At 41.7% G+C, this 24,284-nt stretch overlaps 1 protein-coding gene across 1 annotated transcript, besides 3 other annotated features; it reads right to left on the bottom strand.

Moving 5' to 3' along the window:
• Positions 1-4,979: 4,979 nt before the first annotated feature.
• Positions 4,980-11,873, bottom strand: FZD1 (frizzled class receptor 1). Its single transcript, NM_003505.2, has one exon. The coding sequence runs from the start codon at positions 11,423-11,425 to the stop codon at positions 9,482-9,484; it is 1,944 nt and encodes a 647-aa protein (NP_003496.1). The 5' UTR covers positions 11,426-11,873; the 3' UTR covers positions 4,980-9,481.
• Positions 11,129-11,188: a silencer, noted in NCBI's record as "silent region_18363". NCBI's record gives its function as "represses an Ori minimal core promoter by ATAC-STARR-seq in GM12878 lymphoblastoid cells {active_cell/tissue: GM12878}" and the evidence as "EXISTENCE:reporter gene assay evidence [ECO:0000049][PMID:35858748]".
• Positions 11,279-11,788: a silencer, noted in NCBI's record as "silent region_18362". NCBI's record gives its function as "represses an Ori minimal core promoter by ATAC-STARR-seq in GM12878 lymphoblastoid cells {active_cell/tissue: GM12878}" and the evidence as "EXISTENCE:reporter gene assay evidence [ECO:0000049][PMID:35858748]".
• Positions 11,909-12,088: an enhancer, noted in NCBI's record as "active region_26254". NCBI's record gives its function as "activates an Ori minimal core promoter by ATAC-STARR-seq in GM12878 lymphoblastoid cells {active_cell/tissue: GM12878}" and the evidence as "EXISTENCE:reporter gene assay evidence [ECO:0000049][PMID:35858748]".

Below are 24,284 nucleotides of genomic sequence, written 5' to 3'. Positions count from 1 at the left end.
CTATTTTAGGTAAATGGATTTGAGGCTAAGAGCTGGTTGGGATTCAAGCCAGTTCTTGCAAGTCCAAGATTCTTTCCGAGATGACATTCGACTTCTCTGTCCAATTCTCTATTATCTTGAAATTTGTTTCCTTTTTAGAGGAGGAGGAGGAAAGGTCATATTTAAAATCCAAGGTTATGTCTCTATTTGAGAGATGTTTCCATTCAATTCCTCTACTCACTCCCACCTGGGCTAGCCCCAGGAAAGAGTAGTTGACTTTGGTTTTCATTATATCCCTTCCCTTTTTCTCCCTTCCAAAGCAAAATGACCCCAACTTGTCTACCTGTAGGACATGAGCCTCCCCTCTCCCGGCAAGATGCTCACATCTACCCCAACTTGTCAATGAACAAATGAAGCAACACAGCTCCTGGGCACTGTCCCACTCTGTGAGGACTCTCAACCCAGAAGGTCTGTCTGTGAATTTGCCACATTTGGACCTGGAACATACATACTCTTAAGCCCCACTCTCCTCTGACCTCAGAACACTCCTGTAATAATTCTTGCTCCATTCCAGCCCTTTCAGAAGAGGGGCCTTCTTTCTTCTAACTAGGACTTAGCCCCCTCTCCAATGCCATAGTAGCTGTACTGCAGACTAATTCATATGAAATTTACCAGGTCTGGAAAAAACTTAAACAGAAAATATTCCAGGTGTACACAGGAGAACTCAAGTGTGGTGATGAAATCAGAGAAGAGGTGACTAGGAAGACAACAGAAAGGTCTCCAGTCATCCTGCGGCCCTTCAGTGACTGGAACTTCGTTTTCTAAAGGGGAGGCAGTCAATGCTGAGCAGAAGCCTTCAGATCCTCAACTTCCTCCTTAATTAGCTTAACGTGAATGATAATTCTCACATTTTTACAGAGCTTCACCATTTATAATGGGGCTTTTATATCTATTACTTCATTATTGTCTCTATTTGATTCATTAGGTCCTGTGGGTCAGACTCACTCAAGGTCCCTTAACCAAATAAATCAAGACTAGAACCCAGGTTTTCTGTCTCCTAGGCCAGAGTTTTTCCCCATACCATAACACCTGTGATGATGCAGGGAAATGTGTAAAAGAAAATGGAAGTGTAGAATATGAAGTATAACAGCATAATACTACTAAATGCCTTTCAGAGATTTTTTTTAAACTTGCTTAATGTTATTTACAGATTTTTCCCACTGAAATTATGATACCGTATGTCCCTGTCTAGATTTGAATAATAAAAGTTTTATTTTATTGCCTGCTATGAGTTGAATATTTATGTCCCCCCCAAATGCATGTTAAAGCCTAACCCTCAATATGATAGTGCTTGGAGATGGAGCCTTTGGAAGGTAATAAGGCTGAGATGAGGTCATGAGGGTGGAACTCTCATGATGGGGTTAGTGTCCTTAAAAGGAAAGGAAGACAATGGTTTTCTCTCTCCACCTGCATGCACTGAGGAAAGGCCATGGGAACACAAAGCCACAAGAGCTGTCTGCAAGCCAGGAAGCAGGCCCTCACCAGGAACTGAATCTGTTGGCATCTTGATCTTGGACTTCTCAGCCTCCAGGACTGTGAAAATTGTCAGTTGTTTAAGCCACCAAGTCTACAGTATTTTGTCAAAACAGGCCAAAAGACTTTGGACACCATGCAATATTATCAGGCTATTCATCAATCTAAAAGAAAATTTGCAGGTCAAAAGTAAAGCCCACCAGGCATGGTGGCTCAATCCTATAATATCAGCATTATGAGGCCAAGGCAGGAGGATCACTTGAGACCACGAGTTCAAGACCAGCCTAGGCAATACAGTGAGACCTCATCTCTACAAAAAGTTTAAAAAACTAGCCGAGTGTGGTGGTGCATGCTTGTAGACCCAGCTACTTAGAAGGCTGAGGTGAGAGGATCACTTGAGCCCAGGAGGCAGGTTGCAGTGAGTTGTGATCGCACCATTGCACTCCAGCTCGAGGGACAGAGAGAGACTCTGTCTCAAAAAAATAAAGATAAAAATAAAGCCCATGTTGTATACACAGTAAATCCATATTTTTCTCAATTGTATTTTATAAATTCAATATATTTCACTATTTTAAAAAGTATATTTGCAATTTTAATCACTCCTCCAAAGCAAGGTCTCTCAACTTTGGCACTTTGGATAAGATAATTCATTGTCATGGGCTGTCCTGTGCATTCTAGAATGTTTAGCAGCACCCTTGGCCTCTACGCATTAAAGGCCCATAGCACCTGATATAGTTTGGGTGATTTTCCCCCCCAAATATTATGTTGAAATGTGATCCCCAGTGTTAGAGGTGGGGCCTGGTGGGTGGTGTTAGGGTCATGGGGGTGGATCCTTCATGAATGTCTTGGTGCCCTTCTCTGGTAATGAGCCAGTGCTCACTCTGTTAGTTACCAGGAGATCTGGCTGTTTAAAAGAGTTTGGCACCTCCCTCTCTCTTGCTCCCTTTCTTGCCAGGTGACAGGCCTGCACCCCCTTTGCCTTCCACCATGAGTAAAGTCTTCCTGAGGTGTGGACTAGAAGTAGATGTTGGCACCATGCTTCTTATGCAGCCTGCAGAAACGTGAGCCAAATAAACCTCTTTTCTTTATAAATTACCTGGTCTCAGGTATCTCTTTATAGCTATGCAAAGCAGACTAAAACAGCACCCTTCAGTGCTCAGTTATGAGAGTCAAATATGTGTCCCAATATTGCCAAATGTCTCCTAGAGAACAAAATTGTCCCATATTGAGAATTAGCTCTAGAGTCTAATGTGTAGGTACCTCTTGCAATAATTACATTACCTATGTGTCTTTTAAAATTCATTTACATTGAGTTTAATTAAGAGATAGCAAGAATAGTATTGTGGTTTCAACAATAAAGGCAGTGAAACTGCATGTGCATTTACAAGAAGGATGACAGTAAGCTCAAAAAAGAAGTGAACCAATTCTGATGGAAGAGTTTCATGTAGAAACGTGAAGGTCTACATTCACATTTCCAGGGAAACCCATCGTGAAATCCATTGTGAAGGATTGCACGGTCCACAAAATGTATTCTACAATTTTCAATAATCACAGTATAATTTTTAAGACTTAGTTTACTTTTTCCTTTTTGTAGATACAACTTTTAATTTGAGGAAAGATATGGGTGTTAACCCTACTTACCTTGGAAAAAAGTATAATAATTATATAAACTGTTGCTGTACAGCCATTTGGGGAAATCTCTGCTTGAGTTTATAATCTCATCCTAATGTATTGCTTTATTATACAAATATATATGTACATATACAATTATATATATGTACATACATACACACACACACACACACACACACACACACATGCAGCAGCCTGATAGTTACTTACAATCTGGTAAAATTTAACATCAATTTTTTACAAAACAATGATTTATTCCAAGGGAATACTTTTTGAGAGCCTTTTCTAAAAGCAGCCATTTAACCTGATTTCATGAACAGGGTTCAGTGGCTAGTTGGAAGCCTACACCTATGTCCCATTTCTTCGGGAGGCAAAGGCTAAAGGTGGAATGGCCAAGATAATCAAGGTAGTTTGTTCCATTTTATCTTCATGGTCCACTCAGCTTCTGTTGATTGGTACTATGAAGACCAGTTACAAAGGGCTGTGTTCATTGACTTTTAATCTGGTAATTAAGAAGGCTACAGCCACTGTGGAGTACTTTCAATGCTGGACCAGAGACCAACATGTAAGCTTTTACTCTATTTTTGTGAGAGCACAATTTAATCCATGGAATAGGGTTTCCAGTCATCCCAGTTTGCCCAGGACTTTCCTGGTTTTACTACTTAAAATTCCCACATGCCAAGAAAACTCCCAGCCCTGGGCAAACCTGGACAGTTGGTCATTCTATCTGAGGGGCCTACAGTTTTTGACAGAATATTTGGTGAAGTTAACTTTTTAAAATATTTCCAAGAGTTGGAAAGATAAGGTCAAGAATAGTCCCCAAATCTACTTTTTAAGAAAAAAAATCCTTACAATGATCAAGCAGCACATGACATTTAGAATATGTATCTAACTAGCCTGTATGACTTCCAGGTATTTGCTACTGCAATTGTAAAGACAAGCATTTCCAAGAGCAAGAGAACAGTCTGCCTCAGAGTGCTTCATTTAAGCAAGGACACACTGCCAACTTGAAAGGAAATAAAGGCCACACTTTGTCTATGGGGGGATCCCGCAGTTATTCCCCTGCAAATTTAATTCAAACAGGTACTGAGATCTGAAACATGGAGATATCCACAAATTAGAGGATACTTGGTTTTTAAAAAGGAAAGAAAGAAAATCCAGGCCACAGAGAACTATATCAAAGCAGCAACAGTGATTCCTTTTCATGTTAATCACTGTATTGCTATGAACATGTTTTGAAAGTCTATACTATGAATGAAATTTCTTGAGGTCTTTTTTATAAAATACACATCTAAATTTTAAAACAAAAACTATTGTTTTCAGGTAAGTCAATTTCATCTTTTAAAAAATGTGTGTGTAAAATGTACAAATCATTGCTATTTTAATACTTTGCTTTTAGAATTACTAGTCACACAAATATGCCATTCAACTAGTGTATTAATAATACCTCAAGAAAATGCAGTGTTATTTACATTTTATCATTCAAAAATACACCTCTTTAGAATACCAATGAAATAGTTTACTTAATCTCTTTTGGAAAATTGTATCTTATTCTTTCAAGCAATTTAAGGATCTGCTTGACTCATAAAACTGACGATGACCCACAGAATACTTATTATATGTTCATTGTGTACATGTACTTATAAATTGTATTTGAACTTATATATTATTAGAAAAATTTCTTTGAGAAACCCTTTTGTTTGACCTGTTATTAGGGTCCCAAACCAACCTATAAACAAAGATCCCCAGAGGAAGTATTATATTTGAATAGCAACTTGATTCTGTAATGGAGTAGAGACATTTGTCACCACAAAACATGATACAACTTAGAAAAATTACTCTAGAAATTGTGTTTTAATTTCCAGGTTCTAAGCAAGCTGTTTTGTCACTATAATTGTTAAAGTTTAACATATCCATTGTCAAAGGTATGACCAAAATGAATAAAAATATTTAAGCCCAAAAAGTTTAAGGGAACTCTGAGACATAATTGATGTTCAAGTACCATTTTTCAAATGTTAAGGGCTATTGGCATCTGCCAACATTCAAAACAAACATATATATCTTGAGAGTCATCAAAATAAACTTTACTTTTTTGGTACTTCCCTTGTAAGATCCCATTTTAAATGTAAGGACATTGAAATAAAAGCCTTCAATTTAAGATAGTATTGCAATTCCTTTTTAGTCATGTAACTAGATAATTCTTATATATATTCCATGTCTTATGTTGGTTCCTACACATTAATCCTGCAAGCCTTTGACATTAGTGTATTCTGCAAAGTATTCAATGACAATATCACCAGCGTCCACCTCTAGACATACGTACGACTACATTTTGCTTCTAATCTCTCAGGCCCCAGTTACACAGACTATTATAATAAGAAATGAATCAGAGATATCCAATGCCATGACACAGGTTTCAATTAATTGCATGTGCATTATATAAATTGTGGCCAATAGTCAATAGATGGATTAGAAAGCAAAAGCACACACAGTAAATATGCATCTTAAAAAAAATGTATACCAAGGTTGAAACATGCTATCAGGGACAGTGATCTGCGGCCACTCAAGTCCTGAAATGATTTATGATGTAGTCTATTATTTTTCTTAATTGGCCACCAACTCTTCATTGTAGTCTCCTTTCCTAGTTAAATGCTGGACATTAAGGTGATACAACTACACCAGAAGGCTTCAGTACTTACAGTGGAGACAAAAGGACCAGGCCAGTAAACTCAGGCTGACAAGTGACTACCATAGGACAAGCTGAAAAAATCCGGCCCGGCTCTTTTGCACGTGTTTGACACTGGCTGGCTCTGAAATTAAAAATATGACTCTCTGTCCCCACAAAGCTTAAGTGGAAAACTGCTTTTTTAGAAAGAAGAGCTTCAGAAGTCTTTCATACTACTTATATATTTACTCCAAAAGCTAAATTAAGTACACTGTGAGGGGGGAAATTGACCCCAATTTATAGCTGGTTTAAAAAAAAAATAGGCAAATCAAACCATCTGAAAATAGGGTTTGTCATGGAAACAGCAATGCTAATGGGACAGTATCCCAAGTAGCCTTATGGTTTTCCAGACACGTCCTATTTTGCCACCAGTATTAAAAGAAATAAAAGAATACACTGGTTTTCTATATGCATCATCATTTAGAATAAATTGTTTTCTAAGAATAAAGGCTGGTGGTGACTTAAAAATGTCTTCTAAAGCTATTTAACCACAGCATGTAAAACCTTTCTGCATCAAATTTATAGTTACATCATGTTAAGGACACCTCCAATAAGACTGCTTTAAAATATAGTTTTGGATAGCAATTAATGTCAAAAACATGTTTTTCCAGAAATTATCTAATTGAACTACTTAGTGAGGAGATATGTGTGAATTTGGCCTAAGAATACTATTTTTTTGTGTATGTCTATACAATAAACCCTCTATCTACTATATTATGTTAATGTAACAAAGAAAAAGGGAACACAAAATTGCATCTTGCTACTTAAAATCAAATGCTACATTTTTAGTAAGATCTAATTTTTTTGATTTTCCTTAAAATGAATAATGACTTATAAGACAATTGCATTGTAACAAGGAAAGTAACTCTATTGTATCAATGATCTTCATTTTAGTCCCTTGTCATTTTATCACAAAATGTTTTCATGGGAAAATTTAGTAAAGATATTTTTAACCTGTAAAGGTATTTGAGGTTTTCCATCTAGCATTTTCCATTTCTCATAACCATATTTCCATATTATGAAATGTAAGTAAACTTTACATCTCTATTTTATAAAAATTAATGCATATATACTTATGTGTATACTTATCTATATATACACATATATACACCCATGCATAAATTCTGACTAAGAGTAGACCAACTAGATAATTTATCTGGAGAAGGTTCCTTGAACGATTAAAAAAAGGGGTCTTCAGAAGCAAACAACAAAACAGCCTTACAAACCCAATTGCTGTTTAAAATGTTTATGAACACATAGCCAGTTAACCATTTATTGATTGCCTATTTAGGGTTTTGTAATATCCAAGATTATGGAAGAGATAAGACAATACCTCTAAAAAATATGAGAAAGGTGATGATTTAAAAATAAACCTCCATAATATAAAAAGTCATGTAAATTTATTCCCTGAAAGAAAAGAAAGCTTTAATATTAAAATTAGAGTTCTCTTTTAATCCTCTTTGAGTAAAGAAATAATTTGCAAACTTCTATTTTCTACTGTCATGAAAACAGATCTTTTCTTGGGACTTCACAAATGTCAATCACAACAATGCAAACAGAGTAATTCTTTGGAAAGACTGATCTGAGGGTTTAAGGGTAGACTTTTTTCATTGAATTCCTGAATTTTTACACTGTGGGATTGGCTATGAGACACCATAAAATGTAAAATAGTTCAGACAGCTCAAGCTCTATTATTTTCAGGCACAAAATCCATATAATTTTGTACAAAACTTTGAATTTTTTATTTGTGAAATTAAAAATATGGTATTATATATATATAAACTTCTATTCCTCTATAAATATAGATGATTTTGTGATAGTGAACAGAATAAATGTATACCAAATTCAAAGACCAATATCATTTTAGCGTATGACAGACATAGATAAATTTAGGTCCTAAGTACCGGCATTTTGATAAATTCTTAAAGTTTAAAACAATACAATCAGGAGGATTGCTTTTCTCCTCTTCTTCACAGAGAACTAAAGTGAATATTTTTAAATGGCTTTGAAAGATTTACATTTGACACATTTCTGTAAATCCAAAAGAGGAGCACACAGGATTTAATGCAGTAGACCTGCACACATTTTCCCTTTAGCATGCATGCCCATATTTTGTTTATTTCAGGCGCTATCTCCCCGTCAATTATTCCACCTTCTTTACCTCCTGAAATCTTACCAGGTTATTATTGGTGGTGTGAATTGTTCCCCCCTCAGAATGTGCTGCTGAATAATAATCGTAATAAAATGTTGAAAGTGTACAACTTTTACATTTTAAAGTTTCTGATATATGTCTAGTTATTTGATTAAAAATAAGAAAATAGCACTTCATTTTGAGGAAGTCCATGACACTGAAATATCCTTCAAGTTTTCAATTTCTGTTTACGTTTTGCTGTCTTGTTAAGGAAAGCAAACATCAACTCCTTAACAAAGCTTTCCAGGTGACCTCAACATTTCCATTTTACAGACCGGTAAAATCTAAGCGCAGGCTGTCTCATTCTCAAAGGCAAGGTTGCCAGGCATCCGTATGCAATTAGAATTAACATTTTATAACCCATATCTTCAGTCTCTTCCAACCCACACAAAGCTTCATGCTTCTTCCCAAATCTCAGTAACCACATCTTTCCATGACGCTGGCCAAACCCATACCAGGTTTTAGACACTAGAGAATGAAATGAGCTCACCCCTCAAAAATTAGACTTCAAAAAGTTTGGCATTGGTTATCTCACTCACCCTGTAACCAACTAAGGTGGGAGAAGGGAGTGTCTGGGCGTTGAAGGTGACCGTGGAGGGAGGCTGAGACTGCCAGCGCCCACACCCGTGGGCCCCCATGAAGTTGGAGGAAAGTTCTGGACAGTTAAAAATCCAGCTTCAGGAAGTCGAAGGGACGGGCCTTCGCAATCCACCGCCGAGCAAGGGAGGAATTGTAATGTATGGGGGCCCTCCTCCAGATTTGGAAGGTTTGTGGAGTTCTGTACCTTAAGAGCCCCTACCTCAAGCCAGGAAAGAAAGGGAGGGGACAGAAGGAGGGGGAGGGGGCAAAAGGAGGAGGCGGGAAGTGACCCTGGCAGCGCAGCCCTAGTCGCACCCCGCAGTGCTGAACTCGCCCCGGAGCTGGCGCCCAGCCGTCCCGAGCACCCGTGGTAGGGAGAGGCGCGCGAGGACGACCAGGAGCGCTGTGCGGTTGCACACCAGTTTTAGCTCCTTTGCAATACTCCGAAAAGGGCAAGAAGGAAAAGCCTCAAATGGTTAAACCGCCCTAAATAATTAAAAACTTTTGAAAAAGAAAAACGCGTGATCGGTCGTCATTTAAATACAAATATACTTACAAAAATCTTACACAGGCTATTTACAATCATAAAAGCGAACAGTCCTGGTACCAGAGTGTGAGGGCAAGAGGTCTGTCCATCCTCCCTCTGGCAGTCGGGCCCTCGTGTCCTTTTGCCTCAGGGACGGAAGCTTTTGCAGGAGCTGAGTTGTTCAAAGGAGCCTGCGAAAGAGAGTTGTCTAGTGAGGAAACCTCGAGATGTCAGGATTGGCACGAACTCCACGGCGCTGGCTTTGGGGGATCGCTGCGCCCCGGCCGAGGCCTGGGCATGGGCTGAGCCCCGGGTCTCAGACTGTAGTCTCCCCTTGTTTGCTGTTGGTGAGCCTCGTGTAGAACTTCCTCCAGGAGTTGAGGGTCTTGCCGGACCAGATCCAGAAGCCCGACGTGATGCCCACGATCAGCGTCATAAGGTACTTAATCATGAAGACCGTGAAGTCCGGGCTCATGGGCGGGTGCGGCGGGGCGCCTCCGCCCGCCTGGAGGTGAGGGCAGGGGATAGCGTAGCTCTTGCAGCTCTGGGCCACCCAGCTGCGTTCCCACTGGTCCCGGAAGGCCTGCTCGTAGAAGTAGCAGGCGATGACGATGGTGGCTGGCACAGTGTACAGCACGCTGAAGACGCCAATGCGCACCATGAGCTTCTCCAGCTTCTCGGTCTTGGTGCCATCGTGCTTCATGATGGTGCGGATGCGGAAGAGCGACACAAAGCCGGCCAGCAGAAAGGACGTGCCGATAAACAGGTACACGAAGAGGGGCGCCAGCACGAAGCCACGCAGCGCGTCCACGTTGTTAAGCCCCACGAAGCACACTCCGCTCAGCACATCGCCGTCCACCTGGCCCAGCGCCAGGATGGTGATGGTCTTGATGGCCGGCACAGCCCAGGCGGCCAGGTGAAAATACTGTGAGTTGGCTTCGATGGCCTCGTGGCCCCACTTCATGCCAGCCGCCAGGAACCAGGTGAGCGACAGGATCACCCACCAGATGGAGCTGGCCATGCTGAAGAAGTAGAGCATCATGAAGAGGATGGTGCAGCCCTCCTTCTTGGTGCCCTGCGCCACAGTGCGTGCCCCGTCCTCGGCGAACTTGTCATTACACACCACTCGGTCTTCCAGGAGGAAGCCGGCGATGTAGGCCACGGCCACGGCCGTGTAACAGCCGGACAAGAAGATGATGGGCCGCTCCGGGTAGCTGAAGCGCCGCATGTCCACCAGGTACGTAAGCACCGTGAAGAGCGTGGAGGCGCAGCACAGCACTGACCAAATGCCAATCCAGGTGCGCGAGAAGCGCAGCTCCTCGGGCCCGAAGTACATGAGCCCATACACCTTGGTCGGCTCACAAGGTGCGCCGCAGTCCTTCTCCCCCAGGAAGTGGTAGTTGAGGTAGGAGGGCACCTTGAGGGCGCGCGGGCAGGAGAACTTGCCTCGCTCCGACGCGCCGGCGCCCCCCGGGAAGCCGCCACGGTGCCCTCCGCCGCCGTGCTGAGGGTTGCTGGTCCAGAACTCTGGAAGCAGCGAGGGCGTCGGGGTGCCCTTGTCGGACGTGTTCTGGCCCACGCACAGCTCGCCGGCGCCGTGCACCGGGAACTTCTCACACTTGAGCGTGTCTGGCCACTGGAAGCCGAACTTGTTCATGAGCGCCTCGCAGCCCTGGCGCGCGCGCTCGCACAGGGAGCGGCAGGGCGGCAGCGCCTGCTCTAGCACGGTGCACACGGGCGCGTACATGGAGCACAGGAAGAACTTGAGCTCAGCGGAACACTGCACTTTCACTAGAGGGTAGAACTGGTGCACCTCCAGGCCCGCGTCCTCCTGGTTCGTGTGGCCCAGCAGGTTGGGCATGATGGTCTGGTTGTACGCGATGTCCGTGCACAGCGGGATGGAGATGGGCTGGCAATAGCCGTGGTCCGGGACGGAGATGCCCCGCTCGCCGTTGTACTGCTGCCCGCTCTGTTGCTGCTGAGGCGGCGGCGGCGGTTGCTGCCCCGGCCCGGGCCCCTGGCCTGGCCCCTGGCCCGCCGCCTGGGCCCGGACCCCCAGCAGCAGCGGAGCCTCCAGCAGCCAAAGCAGCAGCAGCAGCTGGCGCGCCAATCGCCGGGGGTCAACTGGCGGGCGGCGGCGGCCACCGGCGTCCCCGCTGCCCTCCTCCGCCAGCCGGGCCGAGAGCGCCCCGGCACAAAGTTCCCAGCTCGCGCCACCGCCGGCGGCCCGGGACTTCTTAGGCGCCTCCTCCTCAGCCATACTTTCTCGGCTCCTCTCTTGGCGCCGCTCCGCTGGGGCTGCCAGGGGCACGGCCGGCGGCGGCTCCCCCTGCGGCCAGGGAGACCTCTGCGCGGGTGCCCTCCGTCGAGCCCAAGCCGCTTTCGGCCCGCTCCCCCGGCTCCTGTTCTGCGTACCGCAGCCGCCGCCGCCGCGGAAACTTGCGATTCATGAAGCGCGGGCGGCGGGGAGAACCCGGGTGGCTAGGGCGCGCCGGGGTCGTGTCCCGCCTTCCTGGCCCTCGGCTCGCTGGCTCCCGGCTGGCGGCGCCGCGCTAGTGGCCGCGGCCCCGTAGAGAGCGCAACTCTCCGCAGCCCAGCGGGCTCGGCTCCCCCCTGCGCCTCCGCCTCCTTCTCCGCCGCCGCCGCCTGACCATTTGTGTCAATCCCTCAACTCGCTCCCTCTCCTCTGCCTCGCGCGCCCTCGGACCGGTTTCCAGGCGCCCCGTAGTCTGTCTTTCACCAGGAGGGAGGAGCCTTGAAACCGACGCAGAACTGGAGGCTCAGGGACCGTCGCCCAATCGCGGCTCCGGCTTCCCGGCGCAAAGGGAGCCGGCCGCCTCCTCGCCAGAGCGAAAGCCAGCGGCAGGAGGGCGGGGTAGGAGGAGGCGGGAGGAGGAGGAAGTAGTGGTGGTGGCACTACTCAGGCACAAAGAGTAGGATTGCTCTGAAGCGGGACAGGCTTGGTTGCTTTTGCTTTTTCAGAAGAAAAAGGCGAGGATACGTAGGAGAATGGTCCCATATGCTGCTGGAGATAATGAATAGGAGTCAGAGGACCGCGGGACTTCGCTTTTCTTTTATTTTATCCATTATCATGTTTAAAAATCCTGCTCTTAACGCTGGTTACCAACAGCAAACCGGGTTCTGCTTCCAGAACAGATGCCTTTGACTTAAGGAGCGCACGGTTTCCTTTGAGTTTGTGTCTGTCGAGGTTTTGTTTAACATATTACATTAATAAATCCTCCAGTTCGCAGGCTGGGCTTGGCGGGCTTTGGTCGCGCCATTTCCCCAGAGGAGACGTTCACGGGATCGCTGTCAAATGAAACAAAACACAAACTTTGATGGAATTTGGAAAGTAAAGCCAGATGCGCCTTCTGCTACTATCATTCTTCTTGGAGTCAAACTCCTTTTTTTCCGCCTCTTTAATCAAGTCAGAAACAGAAGCAAAAGAAAACTATCCATTAAATTTTTGGAGAGAAAAACTTAAGAACCCGACGACCGAGGCAGTGGGGGCGCCTCTCTGGGATCGTCCTCGCCGCTCCAGACCGCAGAGGTGGCGCCGGCGGGAGCTGCACTCGCCGGCAGCTTGGGCCCCTGGGGAGCCTTTCTAAACCCTGGGGACGCCCACGGCTCCGATGGGAACTCCTGGGACCTGGGCCATTTAGGTTCCACAGGCTGGGCTGCAGAGCTGGAGACGCCAGTTTAATAAACAAAACAAACAAACAGTCTGAAAGCAAACAGCGAACTGCACATTCTCTTCCTAATTCCAAAACAGCATAATCCGTCTCAACAGACGCACATTAATGTTGTTTTCCTTGTAAGATTATTTTAAATGATGGTTTGACTATGTAATTCAGTTTTATAAGAAAAGTGCCATTGGACTATTAATTCTTCCATTTTTTTTTTTTTTTTGCCTGTGATCAGACTCTATCTCAGCGTACTTTTCACCAATTACTTTCTATCATTCATTTACACATTCATTTGTTTAATAGATACCAACCACCCATTGTGCTATAAGCACTCTTAGGTCGTAGAGTATAAAATGAAGGAGACCTGTGCCAGCCTTAGAGAGGGGCATAGTACAGTGAGGCACAGAAATGCAAATCACTTGTTACAGTGTCCATCCCAAAGCCAAAAAGGCACATAGAAAGCAACCAGCTCAGATGAAATGGGGTTCTGACGGAGAGGTAGGTGCAAGGTGCAAAAGATTAAAGCTCAAATTCACTTGAATTGCTGAAGGGGGCCAGAGAGGTGAGTGTAGCTGAGGCACTTTGAGGGGAGGCAGGAGAAAAGGTTTTAATCCAGACTAAAACGTTTGGGCCAAATTATACAGAAAATAGAAAACTATTGAAGGTCACTTTCCCCACATAAGCAGGGAGTGATTCCAGGGTGACTGAAAGAGGGCACCTGAGGCAGGCTGTCATTAGGAAGCTTTAACATTCATCTACACATAAAGGTTACTACTTAGATGGGTGTTACTTGTACTACATGCTAACAAGTCTCTGAGAATTTCACTACCCAGCATGTTGGTGTCTATAAAGAAGGTGCAGTCATATCTTTACCTGCTAAAGCAAAATGACATCTGTTTGTCTCAGATACATATGTTATTGTTTTTCAAATGTTTATATAAGCAGTACCTTCATAAAATGCATTTTTGCTTTAAAGTATTTGATTGCTAGCATTTTTTTAAAGCAACAGGTACTAAATGCACAATTATGTGAGCATGTGTACGTGTGTTGACTGTAATTTATGACACATTTTGATATTGAAAAGGAGGTTGGGAAGCACAGCTCTCTGAAGTCCTTTGAACCGTTCAATAAGTGTTCATTTTCACTCTAGCATCCTGGCCCCCAGGCTCCCAGGGACACTTTTTCTCTAGCCTTTCCACTCTGATGCTCATTCCTCTGCTGATAGTATCCCATGTTTAGGAACTTTATCAAGCCATCTCTCTCCTATCACTCCTGTCTTGGAAAGATTTAACCTGTCCTGTGTTCTATTCTCTCAAGTCATTCGAGCTGACTAGGCTGAGTGAAAAGTGAATTTATTCTGATGTGTTAATTACCAAGAAGCATCACGTGTTAAACATCCATCCATCCCTACCATCACTCCAAATCCTTCTCCTTCTCCCCTAAGGGGTTGGGGCACAGAGATATGGCAGAGCACTCAGTTCTGTTTCTCAGAGTAGAAGACACTCTCTTGCTTCAAAAGTTGTTCTACTGAAATTCTTGAACTTGTTTTATGTTTCACCTGACAGTGAAGTTTACTACGAGGAGGCTCAGAAGTACAGCTAGAGTTAGAGAGAGAGAGAGAAAAAATGTCATTCTTACCAGATTATGAAACTGGAAGCAACCAAAAATGTCATCGAGAAATGAGTTAATTTTCTGCAATCTACAATTAAGAATATTGGATCCAGAAATATTAAGGGATGTGCCTCACTTTAAATGGCCCTATTTGGCTTGAATTTCATTAGAAGCTTATTTTAATCCTTGTATGTTATTTTAAGTAGCTATAGTTCTTTTTATCTTTTTTTAAAAGTTAGTTTTCTGTGGAAGTTCTCCCTCAATAGAATGTGTAAATAAAAGACCTTATAACATTTTTAAAAAATCATTTTCTGAGAGTTGTCTTTCAAAGTTAAAAAAAACCAACAAACTTGATTTTCATTTATTATACAAATACAATATTTAATTTATCAAAACTATGTAATACAGAGGAAGGTACTAAAATCAGAAACAATTCCGAGTTTTAGTCAGTAATAACCAGGGTCATGAAAGGAGGTCTGTTGGGGGAGGTAATGAAGGCAATGGGTAACAAAATATTAGAAGACAAATATGAGCAGTGTATTTTAACAGAATATAAAATGTAATATTTTCTCAAGATGTGGAAAAGTTTGAGATCCACAGATCAAAATTACTAAGTAAGTATGAACTATTATGAACTTGGTAATAAAAATATTTCAGTTAGGTCAAAACTATAAACATAACCCAATTCTTCCTTGATACTGCTTTGTCAAGCATCAGACTCAGTCAAGTTTTCTCATATCAAAGATCTTGTTTTATCAGGCCTTTCCCAAATCTTCTGAAGTTTCTCCAGACTGCTTATGTCAGGTTGAATGTGGATAATTAGCAGGGATGGAGATCCAGTTCCAATTACATATAGTTGAGTGTACACAGACACACAGGCAGTTAGGTGAACGCTCCATGTGCAACCCAACCTGAAGGATCTTAAGCTTTTAGGTGAGTTGCTTTTTTGCTGGCTTGTGAGTGGCTGACTTGAATTGTCTTTGTTGAAGAATAGAGATTAACACAGGTTAAGACTATATTTTTGAACACCTACTGTGTATACTTGGTGTTATTTTGCACGATGTATCCATACGTTGTGTTGCTTAAACTTTGAGGAAGGTACTAATTATCTTATCCCTTTTTTTTTCTTTTTCTTTTTTTTTAGAGACAGGGTCCCATTCTGTCTCCCAAGCTGGCATGATCATAGGATCATAGTTCGCTGCAGCCTCAAACTCCTGGGCTTGAGCAGTCTTCCCACTTTAGCTTCACTAGTAGCTGGGACTACAGGTATGCACCATCATGCCCATCTAATTTTTTAATTTTTTGTGGAGACAGGGTTTTGCTGTGTTGCCCAGGCTGGTCTCAAACTCCTGGGCTCAGGCTGTCCTCCCACTCAGCCTCCCTATGTTATCTCCTTTTGATTGATGAAGAATTGAAGGCTCAAAACAATTAAGTAATTTGTACAAGATCCCATAGCCAGTAAGTGCCAGAGTGGGGCTTGTGTCTGACCAAGGTCCATGGACTTCCAGTTAGTAACATTATGTGATCATGTCCACTGAAAAAATTGTAGAAGAAAATGTGGTTTCTGGGAGCACACCAGATGATTGCTCGGTATTTAACATAGTTTTCTATACCAGGATATATATGCTAGGGGCTTAAATGCTGGGATTCACTAATGAGTTAGACCAGCATTTTCCAAACTGTGTTCTGTGAAATACAATATCTTCTCCAAAGGCATTCTGTGAAATAAATTTGTTCAAATAAGTTTGGAAAAAGGCCATATTCTGTGTCCTTATTGGAGATTCACATTAGCCTAATATAATCTCTGAGAATTGCTGAGCTTAAGAACCCTTTTAAACTTTTTTCTTATTTAGTATTTCCCACATTTGGAATATACATATACATACACACACTTGGAATACACACATGTATATACATACACACATACATAGACACACATATATATTACACTGCATCAATATTTTGCTTGACATTAATGCTCTGTGAGATTCAACTTGAAAAATGCTGAATTAGACCTACTATATTTTGAATTTTTATTTTATAAGGTTGGACTCTCACCCTATATTACTTTTGAATGTCAGTTGTAGAAAGTGAGAACTTGGCCTGCTATGCTTTGAGTTCCTGACTCTTCTTGAATTCCTAGTGAAGGGAAGTTGATTGCTTAGGGAGCTGATGGTGGTAGAGAAAACTCAGACCATACTATTCCCTTCTTTCTGGGTGGCACCACCTAGGGGTCTATTATATTGTCTTTGTAGAGACACATTAGGTATAACTCTACTAAAGCTTTCAGCATAGTTCTCTATTTCATTTCTTCTTGAATTTCCAACCCAGAAATTACTACATAAGCTATTTCTTATTTTCCATAACATCTGTATTCTTCTGCAACAATTCTAAAAATGAATGTCTTTTCTTTCTTTGTTTTTTCTTTCTTTCTCATACAAATCTGCTCTCGACATTGGTAAAATAGTTATTGAATTCATTCACACACAGAGGCTCAATTTGTAGACTCTCTTTAAAAATATATATATATATATTTATTTATCTATCTTTCTGTAAAACCACTTATCAAAAGAGATTTTCAGTGTGATTACCTTGACTTTTATCTTATAGAGTACTTACAGCTGATTGATATTAAGATCCTGATTGATATTAAGATCCTGAACTAACTTATTATTTGAGAGTCAGCCATAATTTGTTATAATTTACATTTTAAACATGGCAAGACTCAAAGATTTAATATAAAGGTGTGGCTCAGTAGTTCTAAATATGAATCATGGATTACTTGTACACAAATCTCACAAAACACATTTTTTATTTAAAAAAAAAAGATAAGAAGTATGAAAGGGGAAAAATCACCATCACTGAATTTTCATCAAGGTAGGATAATAATTAACCCAAATTTTCTTGTAATTAAAAGATTAAACTATAATAGGAGACTTTGCTAAATACATTACTTAAACATCAGTTTCGCCAAAAAAAAAAGTGCATATAAAAAGTACCTCATGACTCTGTTTTAATTAGTTCTGTTGTCATTGTCATTGTGCAATTGGAAATGGTGTACACTATCTGGGAAAACTTTTGTAGAACATACAGGCATTTATATTAGATTTAGAATGTAGTCCTTCTTCGAGGCCCTGGGAAAGAAATAGAGATGGGTCCTTGTAAATTAAAACCTTACGCCTCATGTGTTTAAAGAGGCCTCTCTGATTGGCTAAGATGTGGGGTGCTGAGTTTGCAATCATTTCAGTGCAGACATTTTAGGAGAATAAGTAAGACTTGTGCTTCTGTAAGTCAACATTTCTGTTCTCCCTTCTAGATGATTTGTTTGTGTATGAGGGAAATAATGTTATGCATCTGTTAAAATTACAGTCTGATCAAATCGTTTTCTTCTTGTTCGTTTCTTGCTTTAACCTGAAATCTCCTGGCCGAAGGTAACAGGGAAGTCAATTTATGGTTTCTAAAGTGTGGGTACAAATATTTCTTAAAATAACATCTTTGGGGTGGGGGACTGGCAAGATGAACAAATAGGAACAGCTCTGCTCTGCAGTTCCCAGCGAGATCAACACAGAAGGTGGGTGATTTCTGCATTTCCAACTGAGGTACCTGGCTCATCTCATTGGGACTGGTTAGACAGGGGGTGCAGACCACAGAGGGTGAGCCGAAGCAGGGTGGGGCATTGCCTCACCCGGGAAGCACAAGGGATCAGGGAATTCCCTCCCCTAGCCAAGGCAAGCCGTGAGGGACTGTGCCATGAGGAACGGTGCACTCTGGCCCAGATATTGCACTTTCCTTACGGTCTTCACAACCCACATACCGGGAGATTCCCTTGGGTGCCTACTCCACCAGGGGCCTGGGATTCAAGCACAAAACTGGGTGGCTGTTTGGGCAGACACTGAGCTAGCTGCAGAAGTTTTTTTTTCATACTCCAGTGGCACCTAGAATGCCAACAAGACAGAACTGTTCACTCCCCTAGAAAGGGGGCTGAAGCCAGGAAGCCAAGTAGTCTAACTCAGTGGATTTCACCCCCATGGAGCCCAGCAAGCTAAGATCCACTGGCTTGAAATTCTTGCTGCCAGCACAGCAGTCTGAAGTTGACCTGGGATGCTTGAGCTTGGGAGGAGGGAGGGGTGTCAGCCATTACTGAGGCTTGAGTAGGCAGCTTTTCTCTCACAGTGTAAACAAAGCTGCCTGGAAGTTCAAACTTGGTGGAGCCCAACAAACTCCTCCAAGCTAAAGGAGTATGTTCTAACCCAATGCAAGGAAGCTAAGAACCTTGAAAAAAGGTTAGATGAATTGCTAACTAGAATAACCAGTTTAGAGAAGAACAGAAATGACGTGATGGAGCTGAAAAACACAGCACAAGAACTTCATGAAGCATACACAAGTATCAATAGCTGAATCGATCAAGAAGAAGAAAGGATAACAGAGATTGAAGATCAACCCAATGAAATAAAGTGAGAAGACAAGATTAGAGGAAAAAGAGTGAAAAGAAATGGACAAAGCCTCCAAGAAATATAGAACTACATGAAAAGACCAAATCTATGTTTGATTGGTGTACCTGAAAGTGATGGGGAGAATGGAACCAAGTTGGAAAACAATCTTCAAGATATAATCCAGAAGAACTTCACCAACCTAGCAAGGCAGGCCAACATTCAAACTCAGGAAATACAGAGAACACCACAAAGATATTCCTTGAGAAGAGCAACCCCAAGACACAAAATCATCAGATTCGCCAAGGTTGAAATGAAGGAAAAAATGTTAAGGCAGCCAGAGAGAATGGTCGGGTTACCCACAAAGGGAAGCCCATCAGACTAACAGCGGATCTCTTGGCAGAAACCTTTCAACCCAGAATTTCATATCCACCCAAGCTAAGCTTCATAAGTGAAGGAGAAATAAAATTATTTACAGACAAGCAAATGCTGAGAGACTTTGTTACCACCAGGCCTGCCTTACAAAAGCTCCTGAAGGAAGCACTAAACATGGAAAGGAACAACGGGTACCAGCCACTGTAAAAACATACCAAATTGTAAAGACCATCAACATTATGAAGAAACTGTACCAACTAATGGGAAAAATAACCAGCTAATATAATGACAGGATCAAATTCACACATAGCAATATTAACCTTAAATGTAAATGGGCTAAATGCTCCAATTAAAAGACACAGACTGGCAAATTGGATAGAGTCAAGACCCACGAGTGTGCTGTTTTCAGGAGACCCATCTCACTGCAAAGACACATATCGGCTTAAAATAAAGGGATGGAAGAATATTTACCAAGCAAATGGAAAGCAAAAAAATAGCAAGAGTTGCAATCCTAGTCTCTGATAAAACAGACTTTAAACCAACAAAGATCAAAAAAGATAAAGAAGAGCATTACATAATGGTAAAGGGATCAATACAACAAGAAGTGCTATCCTAAATATATATGCACTCAATACCAGAGCATCCAGATTCATAAAGAAAGTTCTTAGAGACCTACAAAGAGACTCAGACTCCCACATAATAATAGTGGGAGACTTTAACACCCCACTGTCAATATTAGATTAATGAGACAGAAAATTAGCAAGGATATTCAGGACATGAACTCAGCTCTGGACCAAGTGGATCTAATAGATATTTAGAGAACTTTCCACCCCAGATCAACAGAATATATACATTCTTCTCAGCACCACATCACACTTATTCTAAAATTGACCACATAACTGGAAGTAACACACTCCCCAGCAAATGCAAAATAATGCAATTCATAACAAACAGTCTCTCAGACCACAGTGCAATCAAACTAGAACTCAGGATGAAGAAATTCACTCAAAACCACACAACTACATAGAAACTGAACAACCTGCTCCTGAATGACTGCTGGGTAAATAACAAAATTAAGGCAGAAATAAATAAGTTCCTTGAAACCAATGAGAACAAAGACACAATGTACCAGAATCTCTGGGACACAGCTAAAGCAGTGTTTAGAGGGAAATTCATAGCACTAAATGCCCACAGGAGAAAGCAGGAAAGATCTAAAACTGACACTCTAACATCACAATTAAAAGAACTAGAGAAGCAAGAGCAAACACATTCAAAAGCTAGCAGAAGACAAGAAATAACTAAAATCAGAGCAGTACTGAAGGAGATAGAGACATGAAAAACCCTTCAAAAAATCAGTGAATCCAGGAGCTGGTTTTTTGAAAAGATTAACAAAATGGATAGACCACTAGCCAGACTAATAAGAGAGAGAGAAGAATCAAATAGACAAAATAAAAACTGATAAAGGAGATATCACCACTGGCCCCAGAGAAATACAAACTACCTTTAGAGAATACTATAAACACCTCTACACAAATAATCTAGAAAATCTAGAAGAAATGGATAAATTCCTGGACACACACACCCTCCCAAGACTAAACCAGGAGGTAGTTGAATCCCTGAATAGGCCAGTAAGAAGTTTTGAGGCTGAGGCAGTAATTAATAGACTATCAACCAAAAAAAGCCCAGGACCAGACAGATTCACAGCCGAATTCTACCAGAGGTACAAAGAGTTGCTGGTACCATTCCTTCTGAAAATATTCCAAACAATAGAAAAAGAGGGACTCCTCCCTAACTCGTTTTATGAGGCCAGCATCATCCTGATACCAAAACCTAGGAGAGACACAACAAAAAAAAAATTTCAGGCCAATATCCCTGATAAACATCAACATGAAAATCCTCAATAAAATATTGGCAAAGCAAACTCAGTAGCGCATCAAAAAGGTTACCCACCATGATCAAGTTGGCTTCATCCCTGGGATGCAAGGCTGGTTCAGCATACGCAAATCAATAAACATAATCCATCACACAAACAGAACCAATGACAAAACCACATGATTAACTCATTAGATGCAGAAAAGGCCTTCGGTAAAATTCAACACCCCTTCATGCTAAAAACCTCAATAAACCAGGTATCGATAGAACATATCTCAAAATAATAAGAGCTATTTATGACAAACCCACAGCCAATATCATACTGAATGGGCAAAAGCTGGAAGCATTCCCTTTGAAAACCAGCACAAGACAAGGATGCCCTCTCTCACCACTCCTATTCAACATAGTATTGGAAGTTCTGGCCAGGGAAATCAGGCAAGAGAAAGAAATAAAGCGTATTTAAACAGGAAGAGAGGAAGTTAAATTGTCTCTGTTTGCAGATGACATGATTGTATATTTAGAAAACCCCATCGTCTCAGCCTGAAATTTCCTTAAGCTAATAAGCAACTTCAGCAAAGTCTCAAGATACAAAATCAATATGCAAAAATCACAAGCATTCCTATACACCAATAATAGACAAACAGAGAGCTGAATCATGAGAGAACTCCCATTCATAATCGCTACAAAGAGAGTAAAATACCTAGGAATACAACTTACAAAGGATGTAAAGGACCTCTTCAAGGAGAACTACAAACCACTACTTAAGGAAATAAGAGAGGACACAAACAAATGGAAAAATATTCCATGCTCATGGATAGAAGAATGAATATAGTGAAAATGGCCATACTGCCCAAAGTAATTTATAGATTCAATGCTATCCCCATCAAGCTACCATTGACTTTCTTCATAAAATTAGAAAAAACTACTTTAAATTTCATATGGAACAAAAAAAGAGCCTGTGTAGCCAAGACAATCCTAAGCAAAAAGAACGAAGCTAGAGATCATGCTACCTGACTTCAAACTATACCACAAGGGTACAGTAACCAAAACAGCTTGGTACTGGTACCAAAACAGATATATAGACCAATGGAACAGAACAGAGGCCTCAGAAATAATGCCACACATCTACAACCATCCGATCTTTGACAAACCTGACAAAAACAGGCAATGGGGAAAGGATTCCTTATTTCACAAATGGTGTTGGGAAAACTAGCTAGCCATATTCAGAAAACTGAAACTGGACCCCTTCCTTAGACCTTTTACAAAAATTAACTCAAGATGGATTAAAGACTTAAAACTATAAAAACCCTAGAAGAAAAATCTAGGCAATAACATTCAGGACATAGGCATGGGCAAACACTTCATGACTAAAACACCAGAATCAATGGCAACAAAAGTCAAAATTGACAAATGGGATCTAATTAAACTAAAGAGCGTCTGCACAGCAAAAGAAACTATCATCAGAGTGAACAGGAAACCTAAAGAATGGGAGAAAATGTTTGCAACCTATCCATCTGACAAAGGGCTAATATCCAGAATCTACAAAGAACTTAAACAAATTTACAAGAGAAAAACAAACAACATCATCAAAAATTGGACGAAGGATGTGAACAGACACTTCTCAAAAGAAGACATTTATGCAGCCATCAAATGTGAAAAAAAGCTCATCATCACTGGTCATTAGAGAAATGCAAATCAAAACCACAATGAGATACCATCTCACGCCAGTTGGAATGGTGATCATTAAAAAGTCAGGAAGCAACAGATGCTGGAGAGGATGTGGAGAAATAGGAGGGCTTTTACACTATTGGTAGGAGGGTAAATTAGTTCAACCATTGTGGAAGACAGTGTGGCAATTCCTCAAAGATCTAGAACCAGAAATACCATTTGACCCAGCAATCCCATTACTGGGTACATACACAAAGATTTATAAATAATTCTATTATAAAGACACATGCACACATATGTTTATTGCAGCACTGTTCACAATAGCAAAGACTTGGAACCAACCCAAATGCCTATCAATGATAGACTGGATAAAGAAATTGTGGCACATATACACCATGGAATACTGTGCAGCCATAAAAAAGGATGAGTTCATGTCCTTTGCAGGGACATGAATGAAGCAGGCAACCATCATTCTCAGCAAACTAACACGGGAACAGGAAACCAAACACCGCATGTTCTCACTCATAAGTGGGAGTTGAACAATGAGAACACATGGACACAGAGAGGGGAACATCACACACCAGCGCCTGTTGGGGGATGGGGGCCTAGGGGAGGGATAGCATTAGGAGAAATACCTAATGTAGATGACAGGTTGATGGGTGCAGCAAACCACCATGGCACGTGTATACTTATGTAACAAACCTGCACATTCTGCACATGTATTCCAGAACTTAGGGTATAATAATAATAATAAATATCTTTGGAATTATAATTATGAACAAATAAGCTGGGTGCTATTACTCATGCCTGGATCCCAGCACTTTGGGAGGGCAAGGCGGGAGAATCACTTGAAGCCAGGAGTTCAAGACTAGCCTGGGCAACATAGAGAGACCCTGTCTCTACAAAAAGAAATTAAAAATTAGTCGGACATGGTGGCGCATGCCTATAATTCCAGATACTTGGTAGGCTGAGGCTGGAGCTTTGCTTGAACTCAGAAGTTTGAGGCTGCAGTGAGCTGTGATCGCACCACTGCACTCTAGCCTGGGTGACAAAGTGAGACCCTGCCTCAAAAAAGAACAAATGGGGCATGTACCCAGGTATTTTTGCTTCACATATGACAATAATTTTTTGGCCAGGATAAAGAAAAGCACTCAGCTGTTTGTACTTTATTAGAAATCTAGCTGAAAAGATCATCATGCTTTTGTAAAAAGAAGAGAAAAGAAAAAGAAAAAGCATTTTCCTGTGTGGAAGTTGCCATCATGTCATAGTACCTGGTTTAATCTTCACAACTCTGGTGCAGGTTGTAGAATAGTCACCCTCATTCAGGATACAAAAATGGAGTCTTAGGAAGGTGACTTGCTCACACAGCCTGTCAATGGACGAAAGAGGATTCACATGCGGTTACCACATGTATTAACACAGCCGCATGCCAAGGGAAACAAGATCCATTCCAGAGCTTTTGTAATCTAATTAAACC

This window comes from Homo sapiens, chromosome 7, assembly GCF_000001405.40.
Source record: "Homo sapiens chromosome 7, GRCh38.p14 Primary Assembly".
Classification (NCBI taxonomy): Eukaryota; Metazoa; Chordata; class Mammalia; order Primates; family Hominidae; genus Homo; species Homo sapiens.
The sequence above is the reverse complement of the archived record's forward strand: the minus strand, read 5'-3'. Positions and strand labels throughout refer to the sequence as shown.